The sequence below is a fragment of the Homo sapiens genome, chromosome 2, assembly GCF_000001405.40.
Source record: "Homo sapiens chromosome 2, GRCh38.p14 Primary Assembly".
Lineage (NCBI taxonomy): Eukaryota > Metazoa > Chordata > Mammalia > Primates > Hominidae > Homo > Homo sapiens.
The window spans coordinates 171043601-171066339 of record NC_000002.12 but is presented as its reverse complement, the minus strand read 5'-3'; the positions used below and the strand labels follow the sequence as shown (position 1 = coordinate 171066339).

General features: G+C 34.8%; 1 protein-coding gene across 6 annotated transcripts in view, besides 1 other annotated feature; it reads left to right on the top strand.

The window, feature by feature from the left end:
• TLK1 (tousled like kinase 1) overlaps positions 1-22739 on the top strand; it is a 240471-nt gene that overhangs the window by 164954 nt on the left and 52778 nt on the right. For 5 of the 6 annotated variants that reach the window (NM_001136554.2, XM_017005422.3, NM_012290.5 and 2 more), the window contains 8 exons: positions 5184-5259; positions 8143-8189; positions 9774-9869; positions 11168-11257; positions 12487-12579; positions 16166-16276; positions 16390-16526; positions 19978-20166. In NM_001136554.2, coding sequence (NP_001130026.1) covers positions 5184-5259; positions 8143-8189; positions 9774-9869; positions 11168-11257; positions 12487-12579; positions 16166-16276; positions 16390-16526; positions 19978-20166 — 839 coding nt within the window. The remainder of the gene's footprint in view (positions 1-5183; positions 5260-8142; positions 8190-9773; positions 9870-11167; positions 11258-12486; positions 12580-16165; positions 16277-16389; positions 16527-19977; positions 20167-22739) is intronic. The other variant, XM_011512238.4, reaches the window with a different exon arrangement.
• Positions 19899-20406: an enhancer, noted in NCBI's record as "NANOG hESC enhancer chr2:171902444-171902951 (GRCh37/hg19 assembly coordinates)". NCBI's record gives its function as "activates a minimal SCP1, AML or CMV promoter by ChIP-STARR-seq in primed H9 embryonic stem cells {active_cell/tissue: H9 hESC(primed)}" and the evidence as "EXISTENCE:reporter gene assay evidence [ECO:0000049][PMID:30033119]".

Below are 22739 nucleotides of genomic sequence, written 5' to 3'. Positions count from 1 at the left end.
AGAAAATATACTACACTCCAAATTGCTGATATGATGATTTTGATTTACTTAGAATTGCAAGGAAATGCTTTTATTTGATGATAGGATTCCAAAATTTTACATACATAAATTTTTTATACTAAATATTAAAATCAGCATTATAGTAGAGATCTTCTTTTAGAGGTCAAAGGTTCAAGTAAATATTTACAGATAATAGTTATCAATATTAAAGTTTTAACTCTTGGGCAGAGACAGACTATGTGAATTTCAGGTCATACCAGCTCAAAATCATCCTTGAATTCGGATGTGCATATTTCATGGTAACGTTTATATGTAAATAGGATACAAAGCAGCAAACATTTTCCTGTCTCACATCTAGTTCAACAAGTTTTGCCTAGAAATGTGGATAAAAATTGAACATTGTTTTACCAGCTGCCAGCAAAAAGGTTTGTCATGCCATTTGTTCAAATTATAGTACCCTTGAATTTGGTACCCAAGTATGAATCATTAGAATAGCCAGAGAGGGCTGGGCGCAGTGGCTCACGCCTGTAATCCCAGCACTCTGGGAGGCCAAGATGGGCGGATCACTAGGTCAGGAGATCGAGACCATCCTGGCTAACACGGTGAAACCCCCCTCTACTAAAAATACAAAAAAATTAGCCGGGCATAGTGGCGGGCGCCTGTAGTCCCAGCTACTTGGGAGGCTGAGGCAGGAGAATGGTGTGAACCCAGGAGGCAGAGCTTGCAGTGAGCTGAGATTGCGCCGCTGCACTCCAGCCTGGGCGACAGAGCGAGACTCCGTCTCAAAAAAAAAAAAAAGAAAGAATAGCCAGTGAAGTTGCAGTTTTGAAACCAGTCTTTGGCTGAATGGATCTGTCAGAAAAAAATTCATTCTGTCAGGTTTGAAGATTGAATATTTTGTAAGGATACTATTTAATATTAGAGTAACTTTTGTTTCTGTTTTAAAGTATTTTCTTGTTTAACAAAAAGAAATATTCTGTGTCTATTAACTATAGTGATTTTATTAGAGATGATGATACCTGATTTTTGTTGTCTATTCAGTGAGGCCCAATGAAGAACAAACTTTAATATCCATTCCCTCTTTTTTTGTTGCTATTAAAATATTTTTTGTATACTGTAAAATTTTCTGTAATGCATTTATTTCCATAATTTTAAATCTCTCTCTAGTTTGAGGCTTATACAGGTGGTTATCTGTTTTCATGGAATAATTCATATTGATTTCTGTCCCTCATACTGTAACAGCATTGAGATTCATGTGTTCTTATGTTTGGTCTTATTTACATTGAAGAAAGACTCCTTTATATTTTATTATAAGATAAAAGCAGCAGGCTACATGATTAGATATAAAAACCTTGATTAATAATCACTGACCTAAGTTCCAAGTAAAATTGGAGGATTAGTTAAATTATATCACTACACTTCTTGAGTCCTTTAAATTTGTCTTTGTGTTTTTTCAACAAACTTTCAACTGGTAGAAAATACTGTGTAAATTCACACTAATATCTTGGAATCTCTAAATGCCAGAGTAGTCATTCAGGTTTTGGTATGATTACAAATCTAACATTTACACAGCTAACTTGGTTTAAAGTGTACTAGTCTCTCCTTTCTTCATTTTCTCCTAATGACTGTTTCATTGTATATTGGAGCTCTTTGGCCTTTTATAATTACTGAATACTTTTCATCTTTACTTCAAAGCCAAATCCTATTATTTTGCCTTCCGTATTAATCTTTTCTTTAGTGGTCTATTTATAGTAGGATAGCTAAGAAAAAATAGAGAATAAAAGAAAGAAATGACAGCATTATTAGCAAGAGCAGTCTTGAAAATGTTCTATATAAAATGTTTAATATGTGCACATTATATACCTTAGCAAATACATAGGTGGCCTGGTTGATGTCCTTTGGATTTCCTCAAGGAAATCATTGGTCATGATCAGTAGTTTTTTTTAAAAGCTGTCGAACTATTTTTTCAAAGGAAATCTCATCTGGAATCTCAATATTAAAATAGGAGATGCTGTGTTTGCAGATTCAGGGTAGAGGTAACATAGGATATGTCTCTGGTAGGCTGGAGCCTTAACTCAGCCACACACTTCCTTCCCTTCTCCTTCCCCTTTAATAACTTCTGGGGCACAACAGTCTTAAAATTAATTTTAGTCCTGTTACCCTTTTTCTTCTCCATCTGTAAATTCTTCTCTGGTTTAAAGGAGGTAAACTTGTTGCCTTCTTTACTATAATTATAATGCATTCGTTTGCTTTTTGGTTGGTTTAATGAAAAGACATTTTTGCCAATGGACTGTCCCATACCTCCACACTGGGAAATTCTGCCTCAGAGGAAAAAGGCTTCACGAAGTAATCTATATGTTAAACAACAAAACTAAGTAATCTGTATGTTAAACAACAAAACAACCTTAAATATCCTGAAGTGCATATCCAGTGAAGTATTTAACGAATGTTGTCTCAAATAAGTTTTGAAAATTTATTGTATCTTCCCACCTCATCCCTCTTTTGGAGATAGCCAGTGCATGTTAGCATTTTGATGGTTCTGAGAAGCCTTGCAGTAAAGAAATCTAATTTTGTTTACCCCGTTTGAACTCACCCCTTTTTACCCTCATTTAGAACATAGTCTTCTCAACCTACCATTGAACACTAGTTCCTTAGGATATACTTTAGAAAATGGTACAGAACCATTTTGAACTTTACATTTTATTTTGTTTTCTAGCTAGAAAATGCTGTTTCCAATACAACTGTTTCAGAATTATAACATTTTGTATGGGTTTTTCCCCCCTATTTTTGCCTGTTCAAGAGTACCTAGTCAAGATTTAAGATGGAATTCGAATAGGATCCTGCCATGCTTAAAAAATTAGTATAACATTAAAGGATTCTGAAAAATTATGTTTTCTTCGCTTTTTTATATATAAATTAAGTTAGGAAGGATATGAATAAATTATTATTTGGGGATCTTTTATTTTAACGTAGACTTGGGGTTCTTTTGTTTTTGAGATGGAGTCTCGCTGTGTCACCCAAACTGGAGTGCAGTGGTGTGATCTTGGCTCACTGCAACCCCTACCTCCTGTGTTCAAGCGAGTCTTGTGCTTCAGCCTCCCGAGTAGCTGGCACTACAGGCATGCACCACCATGCCCGGCTAATTTTTATATTTTTAGTAGAGTCAGGGTTTCACCATGTTGGCCAGGCTGGTCTAGAACTCCTGACCTCATATGATCTGCCCGCCTCGGCCTCCGAAAGTGCTGAGATTGCAGGCATGAGTCACTGCACCCGGCCGATTTAGGGTTCTTTAATAAATGTTAAAAGAATTTTTAATGTAGTGATATTTTTATTTCTAGGAAAACAGAAGATTGATTATTGTTTGAGTTTGGTAATTTTGACAATGAAACAAAAGTAGTAAACTACCTACCCAAAATTGCTGGTACATCAGTCTACCTCCTGAGTAGATGGCCAGTTAGGGTGGATTTCTTTAAGACTTCTGGTTTGTGAAATGAAAACATACTGGCATTTCATTGGACATATTGAGTTTTATTCATAAACAGTAAAATTCTGAAATATTTTTGTATAGTAGATTCATTTAGTTAGTTCTTGATGTAGGATATCATAGAAAAAATAAAGAGCATTTAGGTCTTAGAATCATACAGAACTGAATTTAATTTGAATCCTGGCTCTGCCACACTGGTAGTGTTACCTTGAGTAGGTTACTTAATATTCATGCATGTATTTATCAAGTAATAACTGTATGCTAGGGGTGGGGTAAGAGGGTGAGATAGGGAGAAGATGTAACATCTGTATTTAAAGAATTCAGATGCTATGAACATTTGGTCCAATTTCTCTGAATCTGTTATCTTGTTGGCAAAATGGAGGTGGGAGAACTTTAAATACTCAAGATGGTACTTAGAGGAACAATATGTGTTCAATAAGAATTAGGCTATGTATTGTTATTCATATATTTAATTGTAGGCCCACTCAGAGACATGAAAATACGGATTAAATCCCTTCCTTGTTGGGGGACCATGATGCTTTTAAGAGATTTATTTTAAGTTGTTTAGTAAGATTCATTCATTCATTCAGTCAAATATTAGTGGAGCTCTTGTGAAGTTCAGGAATTTTTCTGGCACCAGAGGTGCTTACCACGTTTCTAGAATTTGAGGGCCTGGTGCCATTGCCTGTGCTTTTGCTCTTGGTTTTAATTTTTGACTAAGCAGGAAAGTTTGTCAAACTCCAGAAAAATTACTTGTATTAGTCTAATGAAGATACTTTCTATCTGTTATAGGAACACACATGTCATTTGGAACCAGAGCCACCATCTAGAGCAGGGATCTGTTAACTTTTTTTGTAAAAAGCCAGATGCTTGCGACTTTATGGGCCATTCCAACTCTGTTGCAGCTACTCAGCTCTGCCGTTGTAATGTAAAAGCAGCTATAGACAATACCTAAATGAAAGAGTGTGGCTGTGTTCCAATAAAATTTTATTAGGAATACTGAAACTTGAATTTCTTGTAATTCTCACACCACAAAATATTCTTTTTGTTTTGAATTTTTAAAATTTCAAACATTTAAAAGTGTGAAAGCTATGGTTCGATCATACAGAACAGGTGACCAAACTGATTAGGCCCATAGGCCATAGTTTACTGATCCGTTATCTGGGGCATAATCTGTGAATTGGCTATAACGGTTGGATAATAATTGCCAGGCATTTACGTGGATGGTCCTTTTTAGTAGGGATTGTGTATATCAGGGTTTGTGTTCTGCCCCTTTTTTCTCATCCAAGTTTACTTTTATACACTAAGTATGTTTGAGTAGTAGGAAACTAAGGAAAAACTTAATAGGAAAAAACTCATAGGAAACACTAAGGTGATTTTTTTCCCCCTCATCCAGTTAAGCATTTGAAGGTCATCTTTTAAAGGCTAATTATTCTAGGATTTTTCATCCACTTCATGTCAAATTCTGTAACTGAATATCAGATAATATGTACAAGGTCTTCTCTACTTGGAATTTTAAAATGTATACAATAGGAAATTTTATCTTTTAAATAAATTGTGTGTAAATAACAGTATATTAACATCTCTTGAGCACTACTGAATGCTATTTTTTTGGTCTCGAAACATGGTTTTATGTTGACTGTGATAATTTTGTATATTAAAACTGTCATTTAAAAATCTGTTATCTTGTTTTCTGTAGACACCGGAGAAGAAACAATCGGAATCATCCAGGGGAAGAAAGAGAAAAGCAGAAAACCAGAATGAAAGTAGTCAGGGTAAGCACATAACATCTTCCTTCAGAGCCTAGTGGACACTTAAAATTAATTGTTTTAATTTTTAACCAATTAATACTCTAATTGTAAAATAATATGAAGTTGTAAATTTTGGTGTGTGCACAGGTAGTTAGTGTATAATGATTGCTTTTAGGCTTTTCAATGTTGCCCTTATTGTTTTCATTTGGGTCCTAGAAAGACAAGTATCATGTCCAAATCTGGCAAGCATTAACTTATGACTTTTCATTTTTCATTCTTTATATGTATTGTATTGAAATGGCTTGTTTTTGAATTAAAAACTTCAATCTCACTTTAACAGAACTACTCAAACTTTTCCCATTTATTTAAAAAAAAGGCTATCAAAATAATTATGAGAGACTCTAGTTAAAGTATTATCTGTTTTTCTTTCCATCCTTTCTTGCATACCTACTTTTTGTGATATGAACTAAGAAAATTATTTTCATTTAACTAAATATCTTATAATGAATAGAAAAATAGTGTTGTCATTTAATTTGAGCACTCAAAATTAAATATAATAAATTGGGCTCTTAAATCGTGTATAATGATGACTTTATACATAATGTTACATGTGTTGGAGCCAATCTTTAGCCATAAGATCTATGGCTGTGAACCCATGACTTACTGGTGTATATAGGGCACTGGAAGCAAGGAATGTATTTGCAGCAACTGTCTTTATGGAAGGAAGGGTAAGTCATTTTAGTGCCTTTTCTGAGGTGTATTGTATTTTGTATCTCAGTTTACACTGAGCTCCTTTTTGGTCTTAGTGTAGCCTCCCCCAGGTTGTAGTTAGTGGACTTGGAGCTTTATTTATTGTAAAGATATAAACTCAAAAACAAGCCCCCGAATAAGATGAGGCTTCTGGATTGGTTGAACCATGTTTTTTTCCTTTGTGGTCTGCCATCTACAGATTTGTCTGATTATCTTTGTTTTTAGGATGGTTGCCTAAATTGTTTTTTCTTGTTTCACCTTCCTCACTTATATTTGCTTTAGTCTGGCTTTCAGTGTTTTTTCCCCCCTTCCTTTGGAGTAAACTTGACTTCAAGTCCAAAGCAGACCTCTCCTCTCATCTTCTGCAGGGTTCCCCAACCTCCCGGTCTTCCAGTCCTTGGCCTATTGGGAAATGGGTCGTACAGCAGGAGGTGAGCAGCGGGCCAGTGAGCATTACCGCCTAAGCTCGGCCTCCTGTCAGATCAGCGGCAGCGTTAGATTCTCATAGGAGTGTGAACCTTATTGTGAACTGCACATGCAAGGGATCCAGGTTATGCACTCCCTTATGAGAATCTAATGCCTGATGATCTGAGGTGGAACCGTTTCATCCCAAAACCATCTCCCCTACTCCCCGCAGTCTGTGGATAAATTGTCTTCCACAAAACTGGTCCCTGGTGCCAAAAAGGTGGGGAACTACTGATCTTATGGACTAGATTGGTCATATGTCCATTCCAAAACTAGTTAGGACCAACAGAGGTACTATTGCCTTAAAAAAAATCAGGCCATCTGTAGGTGGATAGTGTCAGAAATTTAAAAAAAGAAAAAAATCAGGGCCATCTTTGAACCTGGAAATGGAATTAAGTTCTTAAACATACAGCCTGTATGGAGAAGGGATGATACTTGAACAAAATTGGATTTCTAATAAGAAGGTGAGAAGGGGACCTGGAAGTGGAAGTTGTATAGGAGTCAGCTTCCTCTGAAGTTACATGTGCCATGTAGGGTGAAGGGTGTTAACAGAACAAAATTTCCATTCAGTTAAGGAAAGAGAATTGGGGAAATAGCTTCTGGAGTAGGCAACCAAAACCATCTGTCTTCATTAAAATATAGTACCTCTTTAGAATCTACAGAGAAATTATTATGGACAGAAGGGAAGTCCCTTTAGTATAAGACCTTTACAGTCATCTCTGACCTCTAAATAAATCTGTGCAGAACTAATGTTCAAAATTTCTAGGTAGCATTGGTAGTCCTGAATACTTGTTTAGTTTTTAAAAATTCCCCCCACCTTGTTCCAAGAAGGAATTTAAAGTTGTTAAACTTTTAAGAATACTGTTTTTCATCTTAGTAATGCCTGGCACATAGTAACCACTTAAGAAATATTTGTTAAATAAAATAAATGAATCATGAAATAAGTCAGCATTGAATTAACAAATATATGTATGTTTATATTAAGCAAAGCTTTTGACTTTGTGATATCACTAGTTGTAACTTGAAGAAATCGTGTATTCTGTATAGTTCCAGTCAAGGATGGTTACTTCTCCCCCAAGAAAGCATCTCTAAACATTGTATTTCTTAGCAAGTTCTTAATTTAAAACTTACAGGACTGATGAAGAATCCATTTTAGAGCAAAATATTTAAAAAATAGCGTGATCTCTAATGAGCTGGTTCACTTTGTCAGCGTGGTCATATATGAGCAATATTTACAATCTAGTTTTTAAAAAACATTGTATTTAATTTGGGAATGCTTTTTAGAAAATCAAAATACATTTTACAAAATAACATTCCTATTGAAGTGTGTTACTGTCAGTTTGACAGGAATCATGTTATGGTTTGTATAACTAAAGCTGTTTTATTATTATTTACAAGTAAAGGTTAGTTTGTCAGTGATGCAGTCGCTACTTTTTTATTTACTGATTTGCTTTTCTGAAATTAGTAGTTATTAAGCAGTATTAATAATGTAGTTTTAAAACAGGACATCACTTACATCATTTATTTGTAAGATTCTCCAATAACTGGAACTTTTAAAAATTGGCATGTCTCTATTGAAATGTCATTTGATTTTCATATTTGTGAAATTGATAGCTGATGTCCTGCGGACTCTTAATATTTTTTTGATGCCCATCACTACCCTACTAACATCATGCGCTTCTTATATTTTAGGAAAAAGTATTGGGGGACGTGGCCACAAAATTAGCGACTATTTTGAAGTAAGTTCATTGAGGATTGTCTCCATTTCCTAATTCAGTACTATTCTGCTGTGAGCTAGAAATAATTTCTTAGAAGCACAAGGTCAGCTTTTGATTACTTACTTGATTAGAGCAGAGCTTTATTACTATGTGATATCTTTCTAGGAAAATTAGATTTACATTTACATTGGGATGCCATATCATTTTTTTCTAAATACTTTCTCACATAGTTGTTTATAATAACCTGTAAGATAGGCAAAATACATATTAGTGTTTCAGTTTACAGATGATGAAACTGAAGACCAGAAATGTAAAGTAGCCTACACCGTAATTTTTTGAATTTTTGCAGTCAGACCGTGGCAGCAGTGACCTTGAGCAATAATAGAACACTAGGCATAAATGGGTTAACCCATTTAAGGCAAAGTCTGAATTGAAGAGTAAAGAATAGAAGTTAAAGTTCACTGGCTCTCTAGTTGAGAATTCTTTCTACTATCAAGTGTAATTATTAAAACAACAAACATGGTCTACTCAATTGAAAAATATTTATGTTTACTTGAGAGAGCAGAATTGGCTGATTAAGGGAAGGACTGATTTTTTTTTCCACCACTGCTTTCTTTCTTGGGTTCGTAAAATCTAAAGTAAAGCAGTTGCTGACCATGAGATACCTGATGCTCTTTGGTTGAGGTCAGTCACTTACTGATATCATTAATTAAGAACCTTTGCCAAAGGTACGATGAATTCAAATCAACAAATGTCTCTTGAATGCCTACTATGTGCTAAATTTTATGCTAGGCTCTATTGATAAAATAAATAAGGCAAAATCCCTAGGTTGCAGGAAGTTGTTTAATGAACATGCTGGGAAGTTCCTATCTGTGCTGTTCATGTAAGTAAAGTAATTAAACAAGAAATGATGAAATGGACAATAATCTACACCCCCAGAGGAACTTTGCTGCAGCAAGTTATTTTCTTTTCCCATCCTTCGTATGTGAACTTGAAATAGGAGAAAAGATAGCTATGGAATAGATCAGTTGGCTTCTCTTCATATGCAGCTAAGTCATGCACTTTGTACAGAAGAATTGATTTTTTAAAGATTTTGTGCTGTTAGAGGGAAGGGACCTATTATAATTCTTTTTATATAGTGCCATGAACACTTGGGTATCTTGAGAATGATATTCTGTTTAAAATAGTTGATTATGTTCACTAAGGTCTATGGGTAAACATTTTGAAATTTCTTGGGATTAGGGACTATATGGCTCAATAAACATTTGTAGGGGACCTGTGCTAAGATTTGGGGGGAAAACAAAATATGTTTATTGCTTTGGAGGAATTTATTTGTCTTTGAGTTGACCAAAATAACAGATGATAGTCAGAATATAGAGTAATAAGGATCTTTATAAAACAGTCTCGTCATGTTCTTGTGATCAGTAGTCTCTTAGTCTTTTAGGACTTGGCTGACCTTGTGTTTTTTTTTTTTGTTCTGGACCCATTTAAATGACTACTTATTTTAAAATTAGGTATATTTAGATTAATTCTTAATGTCATATCTGAAATAACTGTCTGAGCCTGCTTTAGTAAATAATAATGCTTCCTTTTTCTTTTACTCAGTACCAGGGTGGAAATGGCTCAAGTCCAGTAAGAGGCATACCTCCTGCAATCCGTTCTCCTCAAAATTCACATTCACATTCCACTCCTTCCTCATCTGTAAGTCATCTTTCAAGTTTTTCATGTGTAGTCTTTGGGAGGGTTATGTACACTGAATAAGTTTTATAATTTGTTGTTTTTTATTGAGAACTTCTATATAAATAAGTTAGCATTTATCTTTTAATACATTATTTCTGTGACATGAATTAAATCCTTTTAAGTTATCTGGTGCTATTGGAATTTTATTTCTGGAAGTGAGCCTCTTAAAGATTTTCTGAATTAATTATATCCAAGAAGCATTGTTTATGTTAAAAGAATGCCTGTTGAGTCTGTGGGACTAACATGAGTACTCTTGTATCAGTCTGTATTCAGTTGTTGATTCCTAATTTATAACTTTCTTAACAATTGAATTTCTTAACCACTAAAATGATAGCATAATTCCTTTCTGGGAATCCTTAAGAAAAAGGCAGGGTATGTAGTTCAGTATAGGAAAAGAATCATGGACTTAAAATTATCTTAAACTTTTTGGTTTTTTCATAACATTTTAGATATAGTTCTTTTATATGCATTGTTTTGCATATTGGATTTCATTTTTAAATTTACTTTCATTGTGTGAAAGTTCAATATCTAACTAGAAAAACAATATTGGTTTTCAGTAATTTAAAGAGGAATTAAAGATTTTTAAAAATCAGAGTTTCACTTATTTATTCAAACATCTTGTTTTTATGTCTTGTGTCCCCTTCTTGTCCTTTGTCTTTAGACATACTTGGTTTTGTTTTACTCATTTTGTACCTTTCAGGATATCACATTGCCGTGTATAAAAGTAAGGCATAAGATTCAACAGTAACTAAGAGTTGTAGTGATAGCGCTGATACAATGTTATAATCTGCTTTCAGTGAGTGTCTTTTTGAACTAGTGACCAGATAAACTATGAAATTCATTGATAAATTGATATTAAACTACATATGGGCGTGTATTATTGTCCCTAGTAAGTTTGTTTTTTCAACTATCATAATCATTGTTTAATATTTTTCAGAATAATTTATTTGGCCTTATTTTTTTTTTAACTGTATGAAAGCATTAAGATTTCTTTTATGGCACTAGAATGTAAGCTCTATGAGGGCAGGGAATATATTGTTGTATTTCTCACTGGGTCTTATGTAGGAGGTACTTAATGAACACTTGTTGAATAAATGGTGATTAAAGGTTTTAAAAGTCAATTATGTTTCAATTTAGGTATTATTCTGATAGAAACTTCTTCAGAAATGTTAAGTAATTGTTGCTAATTAGAAATCTGTTTTGTTTTGTGTTTTTTTTTTTTTTTTTTGCTAATATAAAAATTTTAATAATTTCTTTAGGTTCGACCGAATAGCCCTTCTCCTACTGCATTAGCATTTGGGGACCACCCTATTGTACAACCAAAGCAATTATCCTTTAAAATTATTCAGGTAAATGATAATTAAAATGTTTTTTTCTATGGCTTCTAAGAAACCATTGACTAACTTACTAACAACTAAGATGTCTGTTTGTTTTATATGTAGTCATAAAGCAGAATTACACATCAAGAAAGATAACTTACTAAACAAAAACAACAGAATTTGTAGGAAGGAGTGAGAAACTGAAACACACAATTTACTATCAGCTTTTTAAACAACCGTTAACATGTCAGTTCTGTTTACTGATTCTTTCTGAACTTAATTTCCAAGTATATGTAATTGATATTTTGTGAAACTGCTGTATTTTTTAGAAGTGGACATTAAAGCCTCTCATTTGACTGTATTTATTAAATACGTATATGTGACAAATTATAAACATTATTTGAATTATTTGTATATTTTCTATACTTATTTAGTTTCATGAATTTGAGCACTAAGTTTTTCATTTTAATTTTTTACATGTGACAGTTTCTGAGTGGCACTTTCTCAGACTGGGGTTTGGGAGAGTAGATCTTACTCTTCAAGCTCAGCTTGACAGTTTATTTCTATTAGACTGTATTTGTGAGGTCATATCCAAACTGTTGTGCATGTATCAAAACCTCTTTCTTTGGATGATCCTGAGGCTAGGATTAGAAGTACATTCCTTTCAGCCACTGAGTAGATCATGAAAGGTTTTGCTGCATGAGATGTTGGTCAAAGGACATAAAATTTTAGTTGGAAAGTAAGTTCAAGGGAACTATTATACATCATAGGGGCTACAGTTAAAAACAATATTTTGTGTATATGAAAATTGCTAAGAGAGTAGATTTTATTCACACCACAAAAAAAAGATATGTGTTAAATAACTTGATTTAGCCATTCCACATTGTATATACATATATCAAAACATCGTGTTGTGTACCATAAATAGATAGGTTTTTACTTATCAATTTAAAAAAGGTCTTGCAAAATTCAAAAAAATCAACTAGAGGAACGTATAGCACAAAGCAGCGGATATATTGAATTATAATGAGGAACATCAGTATTCTAAGTAATTGGCCTTTCTAGATGTTTCTTGGTAAGTCTGTAGCATTTATACACTTGAAGTTATTAAAACTGCACTAAAACTTTTTGAGATTCACTTTACATATACACACAAATATATTTTTCTTTACCTTTTGAATTTGGAGTAAAATCTAGTTTTATGTTTGCTTGAAACAACATATATAATGGAGATAATAAAATAACTTTTTTTCATTTAGACTGATCTCACAATGCTGAAATTAGCAGCATTAGAAAGTAATAAAATCCAGGACCTGGAAAAGAAGGAGGGACGTATAGATGATTTGCTCAGGGTAAGTAATGAGTCATAGAGGGGAAAAAAATTGAATAAATTATTTGGCAACAGTCAAACTGTTCAGAAAATACTTAGCATTGTAAAAAAATCTGTAGCTAGGCCAGGCGCAGTGGCTCATGCCTGTAATCCCAGCACTTTGGGAGGTCGAGGCGGGCAGATCACAAGGTTGAGAGATCAAGAGCATCCTGGCCAACATGGTGAAACCCCGTTTCTACTAAAAATACAAAAATTGGCTGGGCATGGTGGTGCGTGCCTGTAGTGCCAGCTACTTGGGAGGCTGAGGCAGCAGAAATGCTTGAACCCGGGAGGTGGAGATTGCAGTGAGCTGAGATCACGTCACTGTACTCCAGCCTGGCGACAGAGTGAGACTCTGTCTCAGAAAAAAAAAAAATTCTGTAGCTAGAACTCAATAAGCTTTTTCTGTTAGTTTAAGTACATGATTGAAAAATACCAATTTTAAAGTGAAATATTTTATTAGATCTTCAATAAATTGGGAATTGAGAAACTGTTGGAGAACTGGAAGTTAATAACATTTATATGACCAACTACCATAACACAAATAGCCATTTCATGTTAAAGTTTATTGATTTTATTATATGCCTGACATCTGATACCTATACGATGAAGTAACTGCTGCAGTTCTGTAGGATTTTTAATGGAAGCTTTATTTAAAAATACATCTAGAAGTATACTTAAGAATGTAAGGGTTTAAAGCAGCAGTTCTTACCCCTTGATGCTCCTTAGACTCACCAGTTGGGAAGGGTGAAAGTACTAATGCCTGAAACTCTACCCTGAGGGGTTCTGATCAAGTTGATGATGATGTAGGTCTTGGACATTGGTAGTTTTAAAGGCTCTCCCAGATAACTTTAATTTAAGACAGCATTGAGAACTACTGGTGTAGAAACTCGATAAAACCAACACCTGTGATCCTACTGTATTTGACAGTGTCTTTAAAACATCCAGTGTGTCTTTTTCCTGATCCTGTCATATTTACTTTCTCACACCCATTTACCATTTAACCACTATTTTAAATTTTGTATTTGTGATGCCTTGGTGTTTCTTTATGGTTGTATTAAATATGTGCTTACATTCTTCACAACATATTATTTCAGTTGGTTTTTGAACGTTAAGTGAAATTTTCCAGTATGGACCCTTTTGCCCAGCTTGTTTTCAATGAAATATATCAGAGAGTCATCCACTTTGATGAGTATAACTGTAGTTTGTTCATTTCATTGCAATATTGTAAGGTGTTACAAGTATACCATAATTTCTGTATCTTTTCTGCTTTTAGTTGACATTTTATTTCTACTTTTTCTAGTATAAACAGTTCTAAGAACATTCTTTGTACATGTCTTCAGGGCACATATGAAAGAATTTTTCTGTGGTATATGTTTAGGAAAGACATAGCCAGAGTACAGGGCATACGCATTTTCCATTTTACTGTATAATACCAGTTATTTCTCAAGGTTTTTTGGTCTGGTCTTTTTTTTCCCCCGCTAAGTGACAGGGTCTCACTGTGTCGCCCAGGCTAGAGCACAGTGGGGGATCATAGCTCACTGTAGCCTCAAACTCCCGGGTTTAAGCAATATTTCTACCTCAGGCTCCCAAGTAGCTAGGACTACAGGCTCATGCCATCACTCCGGGCTGATTTTTTTTTATTTTGTAGAGCTGGGAGTCTACAGGCTGGTATTGAACTCCTGGCCTCAAGTGATCCTCCCACCTTGGTCTCCCAAAGTGCTGGGGCTATAGGCATGAGCCACCATGCCCAGCTGATCTTTCAATATAAATTATTAGTCTTACTGAAATTGGTTTTGGGTATGGCATGATGTAGGGTTTCATTTCAATTTCTTTCTATATGGATAACCAGTTGTTCATCCCCATTTAATTAAAAGCTCATTCTTATACTGCCAGCTCTATCATCATAAAATCTTGTTTCCAGTATACAGGTGGATCTGTTTCTGTGTTCTGTATCATGTTTCCTTGTTCTGTTTGTGTCTCTACACAAGTACTGCAGCATCTTTTTATCATTGTTGATAAAACAATTTTTATCAGTTGTTTTTGGCTGTTAGTAACAGTGAACATAAATAACAGTACTTCAGATGAGATAGAAGCTTATTTTTCAAGAGAAGAACAGAAGTGGGCAGCTCAGATATTATTACTCCTCAGTATCATAAGGGACCTTGTCATTGTTAGTTCATGGCTTATATCTCAAAGGTCACATCAAGGTTCAATATATCTATTAGGGTCACAATTATATCTGTGTTCTAAGCAGATAACAGGAGGGAGGATGGGAGCAGAGAACACAAAGCACAATTCTGTGTGCAGCCTTCTTGGATATCTCATTGAACAACTTCTGCTTGCATCTCATTAACCATCCTTCGCTCTAAGGGAAGCTGGGAACTGTAGTCATTTGGCTAGGCAGATAGCAATCCAGGATAAAACATTGAATTTCCATTATTAAGGAAGGAGGAGGCTTGGGTGATCATAGTTATGTAGCTTTATGTTAAGTCATGATACATGGTTAAACAGATATCCTCTTCTTCTTTTTGGCTATTTTTGGCCCTTCACAGTCTTAGAGAAATTTTAGAATCAGGTTTCAAGTTGCATATGCATCATACACACACAGTGTTGAGATTTTGTTTGAATTGCTGAGGGTCTATTGGTGCTAAATTCTGTTTCCTCTTCCTTGAAAAACAACTGTGTTGGGTATCTAATTTTAGGTTGGCAATTCTTTTCTCTCAGCACTTTTAAGATTTTGTGCCCTTGTCTTGTGGATTCCACCATGGTTGGCCTAGACTTTTGATTCTCAAAGTGTGATCTTCAGACCAGGAGCATCAGTATTACTGGAGAACTTATTAGAAACGGAAATTTTCAGGTCCTTCCTGAGACCTGATTCAGAAGCTCTGGGAATGGTTCCCAGTAATCTGTTGTAACAAGCCCTATAGGTTATTCTCTTGCCACTGTACTAATCAGACTCATCTTTTGATGTTAGAAGGAAGCCTCTTCTCTGAGCATATGGCCACCTACAAAGTGAACAGAATTAGTATCCTATTGCTAAGGAAGAATGGTGAGGACAGTTGTTGGGTAGGCAACTTGTGTATGTCATTTATAAGTTCAGTGGAGAAAATATTTTGTTAGTTATAAGAGATAGAGGAAAACCCACATTTAATTTGTTAATTATAAGAGATAGAGGAAAACTCACATTTATTTTTAAGTGATAGACACTTTATATACCATATTTTAGTTATTTTTAACAAAGTGAGGTAGATTGTGTTGCTTCTATTTAGAAATAAGAAAGCTGAACTAAAGTTCTTATAACTTAGCCAAAGTTAACCTTAGAGTATGGATTTGAATGTATGGATATGGATACAAATTTCCCTGTATGTACTTTCCACTACACACTTAAGTAACATTTAACAGTATTATCTCATGGTTAAGTAGGCTTTTTTTTTTTCTCGTATCATACTCAGATATTTAATATTATTAGTCCTATCTGTATATAATTTATTTAGAACATTAAAACTATTTCTAAGCTTTTCATATTCCCCAGTCTAGACCTCTTGCATTTTCTACTTATGTCATAGGCTAACTGTGATCTCAGACGGCAAATAGATGAACAACAAAAATTACTTGAAAAATACAAAGAACGATTAAATAAGTGCATATCAATGAGCAAGAAACTTCTTATTGAAAAGGTAGGCTAAAAGTTGAGTAAATTTTCGCTTTCCCTTCATTAGCCCCTTTTGCTTTGTATGCTTTTATAAATTAATGAATACAATTGAGTGATGATTTTTTTTCTCCTTTTCAGAGTACACAAGAAAAGCTGTCAAGCAGAGAGAAGAGTATGCAAGATCGATTACGCCTCGGGCACTTTACAACAGTTAGACATGGCGCTTCATTTACTGAACAATGGACAGATGGTTTTGCATTTCAGAATCTTGTGAAGTTAGTCATTCTTAACATTTAAAAGTTTTTAGTATTCGTTTGGGTTTTCATTACTTTAAAAGATTATAGATTTGTAATTATGCTCTCCAGTTCCTCGCTACTCTGAAATCATAGAATTTAGTACCTTTGAAAGGGATATGAAACCAAGAGTATTACAGTTTTAGCTTAGTAATTTCTTGATTAATTAGCAGTCATCTATAGAATGTAATATATTATTCTAATTCTGACTTTCCGAGATATTAATTGAACCTTTAGCTTTACAGATGATGTTTTGAGAGGGAAATTGTTGAAAATTTAATTTTCACTGGAAGATTTGTGTGTGTGTTTATTTCCTAGGATTTTCCTACTTAGTTTTTTCCCATTCCCCAATCCTTACATGTTAATGTTCAGCACTTGCCTGCTCTCTATTCCTAAGGGAAAAAACTTCTCTTTTGCCTCAGATATAATAACTGATTTATCAGTTAAACTGAACATGTGGCTTTAGCGTTTCTGAGGTAAACTCTATTTATTATTTATTTATTTTAATTTCAACTTTTATTTTAGTTTCAGGGAATATATATGCAGGTTGTTACAGGGGTATATTGCTTGATACTGAGGTTCGGGGTACAATTGAACCCACCACTCAGGTAGTGAGCATAGTACCCAGTAGTTTTTCAATCCTTGCCCCTGTCTCTGCCTCCTTCATCTTTGTAGCCCCCAGTTTCTATCATTCTCATCTTTATGTCCATGTGTCTCCAATGTTTAGCTCCCACTTATACATGAGAACATGCGGTGTTTGGTTTTCTGTTACTTTTCAGATCAAACTTTTAAACAGAGGAATTATAGTTACCATATTTTCTTGAGTTCAGATGGTGGTAGAAAAGGATTTATTGGCTGTTTATGTGTTAAGGAGTGCTAAATATGCTACTCCGTTTTTGGTGGAAAATTTTTTTAAACCTGAAAATGGGGAGTAATGCCAGCATGAACATCAGCTTTTCCAGAGTATCCAGTTATTTGAAATAGAGGCAGAACTTACTTTCACATGGTATCACACCAACATTGCTGTTCAAACACTGCCTCCTAGGACTTGCCACAGAATGGCCTTCTCTCTCAGCAGATTTATTCAACTTTTCTTCAACATATCTGTGCTAGTTATACCACAGTGAAACAAAGGATAATGTCCTTGTGATATTAGAGAGTTTGGGTTTCAATTCTGCAGATAATGGGACTTGTTAAAGGTTTACATATAGTGTACGTGATCGGAATGATATCTACAGTGATAGTTGTAGAATAATAACTGATGGTAATGTGAAAATATTATTAGAGGATGAATGTTATTGGTAGTTAAGATGGAGGGGTATCCAGATGAAAGGTGATTAAAGCATGAACTAACATATCAACAGTAAAGTGGAAAGCAGGAGAAGATAATTTTTTAGTGTTTATGAGCAAGAGGCTCTGCTACTAAACCCAGACCGGCAATTGTCCTGCAATGAATAAAAGAGACAGTTATATAATTAATATGAATGTTCTGAAATATAAATTCTACTAGTAGTTCCAATTTCTCCTCTTAACTGTCAGAAAAGAGGCCACAGGTGCAGTGGCTCACGCCTGTAATCCCAGCACTTTGGGAGGCCGAGTTGGGAGGATCACCTGAGGTTGAGAGTTTGATACCAACCTGGCCAGCAGGGTGAAACCCTGTCTCTACTGAAAATACAAAAATTAGCCAGGCATGGTGGTGGGCGCCTGTAATCCCAGCTACTCGGGAGGCTGAGGCACGAGAATTGCTTGAACCTGGGAGGTGGAGGCTGCAGTGAGCCGAGATCATGCCACTGCACTCCAGCCTGGGCGACAGAGTGAGAGTCTGTCTCAAAAAATAATGTCAAAAAAGAAAATAATTACTTGTATGTCCTGACTTTCACTAATAAGCATTTATTGAGGACCTACTGTGTGTATATCAAGCCGTTTATAATTGGTGATATAATCCAGAGTGGTTAGAAGATGAGAAGAGAAATAAATAAAAGTAATAATATTAATCTCTAAACTGTATAGTCATCCCTGAGTAATCAGCTATTAATATCTATTCCAGTAATTCTTTACTTTCCATTAATATTTTAATCATTAGGATTATTATTGCTTATTTGCATTTATACCATCTTGATTGTGCCCTAAAATAGCCTTAAGATTTACTTATTAAAAATTGAAATTTATTCCTGCTTCTAAATGAAAACCGGATTAAAGTCTTGTTCTCACTTTGCTATTCTTGAGATTTTTCTCTACCCTTTCAATCTTCTACCTAGATTCTTCTTGATTTTTTTCACTCCTATCATATTCTGCTACTTTATCACTAAAACCATAGGGAAGGGGATGTGTGTAAGGTCAATTCTGCATTAGCAAAGTAGGAGCCCTTTAGTTGATGTCAGTGGTTGGGGAGAGGAGGGCATGAAATATTTGACTTGCTCTAAGTATTGTAACCATGTAGGATTTGAAAATTTTTTATTGGCATAGTGAGGTGACCTGAAAGAGAACATGGTTACTGTTAGAATAAGCTTAAGGTGTTGTATGATAAGTTGGTTTTAAAAAGCTTCACTGTTAACTACTTTATGCTCTGCTCAAACTGCTAAAATATCTAATCTACATTTTAATAATAGACATGGTATCTATTCGTTTTTAGAATTAGGGAGCTATTTGCAAAATTGTTTCAGTTTCTTGAATGGGAAGCATTGATTTTATTTTTGTTACTTTCCCATTTTTCAGAGCCATGCTAATTTTTCTTGCTATTTTCTTGTCTTTTTCCCCTTAAATTATCAAAAAAATTTTTCTCATAAATTTCTTATATTAAGGTTAATTTGTCTCATTTCAAAACACCAACTTCCCATTACCAATTTTTTTTAACAAAAGTAGATTTAGAAAATAACTCTCTTCACATTAAATTCATATTTGCCTTTTGTAAATTTGTTTGCAAATACTGTGGTGAGATGCATGTGTAACATATACCCCATACTTTAATAGTTTGGGGTATTGTTTTATCTCATTTCATTCAAGAAACATTTACTGAGCAAAGGTAAGTGATGATCACTACACTAGGTACTAGGGATACAACAGTATAAATACTGTATAAATAGACACCATCTGTGTTCTTAGGGAGTGATGTCATCTAACCGGACACTTTCTGATAAAGTATCTATAGGAATAATATTTATTAGAAAGAGTGAGGTGGGGAGATAGAAGATCCCATGAAATTATATATGGCAACACATCTTTCCCTAATCTAGGGGTTTAGAGAATACCTCACTTAAAAAAATTCTTTCAAATGAGACCTGAAGGATAAGTACAAATTGGTTCACAAGAGTGGAACCAAAAGGTTACGAATGTATATTTTATGGTTTTTCATGTTTTTTATGCATTTTTTCCAAGTTTAGCCTTGAAAAGTAATGGAAGGTTAATATGGTTTTATTTGTTTATTTTTACACAGGCAACAAGAATGGGTGAATCAGCAAAGGGAAGATATTGAAAGGCAAAGGAAACTTCTAGCCAAACGCAAACCTCCCACAGCTAATAATTCTCAGGCACCCTCTACCAATTCTGAACCAAAACAAAGGAAAAACAAAGCAGTCAATGGAGCAGAGAATGATCCCTTTGTTAGACCAAATTTACCACAACTGTAAGCCTCCATTTAAAATTTTTCTTTTTTAAAATTGTTGCCAGTGAGCGTGAATGTTACTAATGGATGTTATTTATAATTAATACTTAGATAGCAAAAATGATTAAGACCAGGAAGGAAGGCAGTATTGAAAATTTAGCTCTAAATTAATAGCCCCAAATATCTGAATTCTACCGTTTTAAGCAGAGATTTAACAATTCTCTTTTAAAACAGAGACCTAGGTAGCTAAGAGGTTACCAGAATTCACCCTTCTGTGTCTGAATCAGTTAGGAATCAATTAAAAGTTTTGGATTATTCTAATTCAACGTTTCCATTCACATTCCTTTGTCTGAGAGAATGAAGTAATGTAACTACCATTTATATGTTTTCTCAGCCTGTGAAAGCAGTTCATTAGTGGGTTATAGGTATTGTTTTTCCCTTTCTGCTTTTCTTTGTTTTCTGGATTTTCTTTGTTAATGAATTATTCTTTATAATTTAAAGGACAAAGACATTTTTTAAAAGAAAATTTGGAAAATAGGACAAGAATAATAATATAGACCATGATCCCATTTCACAGAGAACACCATTGTTAAAATTTCAATATACAGATGTATCCAAACTTACATAAATTTTCTGTTCTAGAAGAACTTACGTAAACTCACGTGAGTAGAAAATACATAGACCGGGCACGGTGGCTCATGCCTGTAATCCCAGCACTTTGGGAGGCCAAAGTGGGTGGATCACGTGAGGTCAGTAAATTCTCAGAGAGAAACCCCGTCTCTACTGAAAATACAAAAATTAGCCGGGCATGGTGTCAGGCACTTGTAATTCCGGCTACGCAGGAGGCTGAGGCAGGAGAATTGCTTGAACTTGAGAGGCGGAGGTTGCAGTGAGCCAAGATCGTGCCATTGCACTTTAGCCTGGGGGACAAGAGTGAGACTTTCTCAAAAAAAAAAAAAAAAAAAAGAGAAAATACATGTACCCTCTAATGTCTTGTATGTCATGTATTCTTTTCTCCTCTATTGAAAGATTGTCTGTCATCCATGCTTTGAATCCCATCCACACCTGTATCAGGAACCTCTTCTGTTGATACCTCCTTTGTGCTCTGCTTGTTACTTCCCTTCCAAAAACATGTAAGCAAAACCATTAAAAAACTCTCCCTCAATTACAAATCCCTTTAGTCTCTATATTCTGTATGTTCTCTTCATAACTAGGCTTCTTCAAAGAGTTGCCTGTCCTCGTAGTCTCTTCTGCCTTGTCTTCCAGTTGCCCTTTCTTAACTGAAATTTTTCTTAAGATTATCTTCCTGATGCTAAATGCTGTAACATTTGGGTCTTTAACTTACGTAGCAGCACTGAATATTGTTGACTTATTTTTTTCCAAAAAGACTATTTTAGTTTTGAAGATACTGAAGTTTCCATTTTAACTCATCCGGCTGCATCTTCTCAGTCTCTTTCTATGGGCATCATTTACTTACCAATCTGTAAAATGTAGATGACTTTTAGGGATATGTCCTAGGCCGTCACATTTCTCACTCTGCGTATTCTCCTTGAGTAGTATCTACTCTTAGGGTTTCGGTTACCGTATACATCCTGCTGACATCAAAATTACCATCTCCAGCCCACTTTTCTCTTGAGTATCGGATACTTCTGTCTCAGTCTTGAATATCACATCCTGCTTAGTTGCTATCAGTACTTAAATGTCTCACAGGAACTTCTAATGCAGCCTGTTCAAAACTATATTTACTAAAAACAAATAAAACCTTGTATTTACTGTTATCTTTCCGATTCAGTCTGTCTTTACACACACATACTTTGCCCCTTTTCTGTGTTCTCTTAGTGAGTGGCACTACCATCCTCTCACATGTAAGAATTCTAGTTGTCACCTTTAACATTTTAAGTACAGATTTTATTTATTTTTATTTTTTATTGTTTTGAAGAGATGGAGTCTCCCCATGTTGTCCAGGCTTGTCTTGAACTCCTGGGCTCAAGCTGTACTCTTTGCCTTGGTTTCCCAAAGTGCTGGGATCACAGGCATGAGCCACTGCACCCGGCCAGATTTTGTTGATTTTTTCTTAATCCATTAGTAATTAGATGGTGATAGTATTAATCTTTCAAAGTCCATCTCAAAATGTACTTTCTTCTTAAAGCCTTTCTTAATTTTCTTGAGCTGTTGTAAGTTACAATTAAAACATTTTGACTATATTAATTTTTTAAAAGAACTGTACTTTTTGTAAGTTAGTAAATTTGTTTAAGAAAAAACCAAAAGCCAGGTGAATGACTGGCTTGGTGGGTGATTGTATTAAAAGAAAGTGTGGGCTGGGTGGGATGTCTCACACTATAATCCCAGTGCTTTGGAAGGCTGCGGTGGGAGGATCACTTGAGTCCAGGAGTTTGAGACCAGCCTGGCCAACATAGTGAGACCTTGTCTCTATTTCTTTAAAAGAAAAAAAAAGCAAAGTATGTGTTAGCTTTAACTCTACCCTGTAGATGCCCAGTCCTGCTAGATACCAGATATGTCCACTCATCCTTTATGCAAGTTCCCGCTAACACCATTCATTCTAACTCAAGTTAATGCTGTCTTTTACTTGGGTG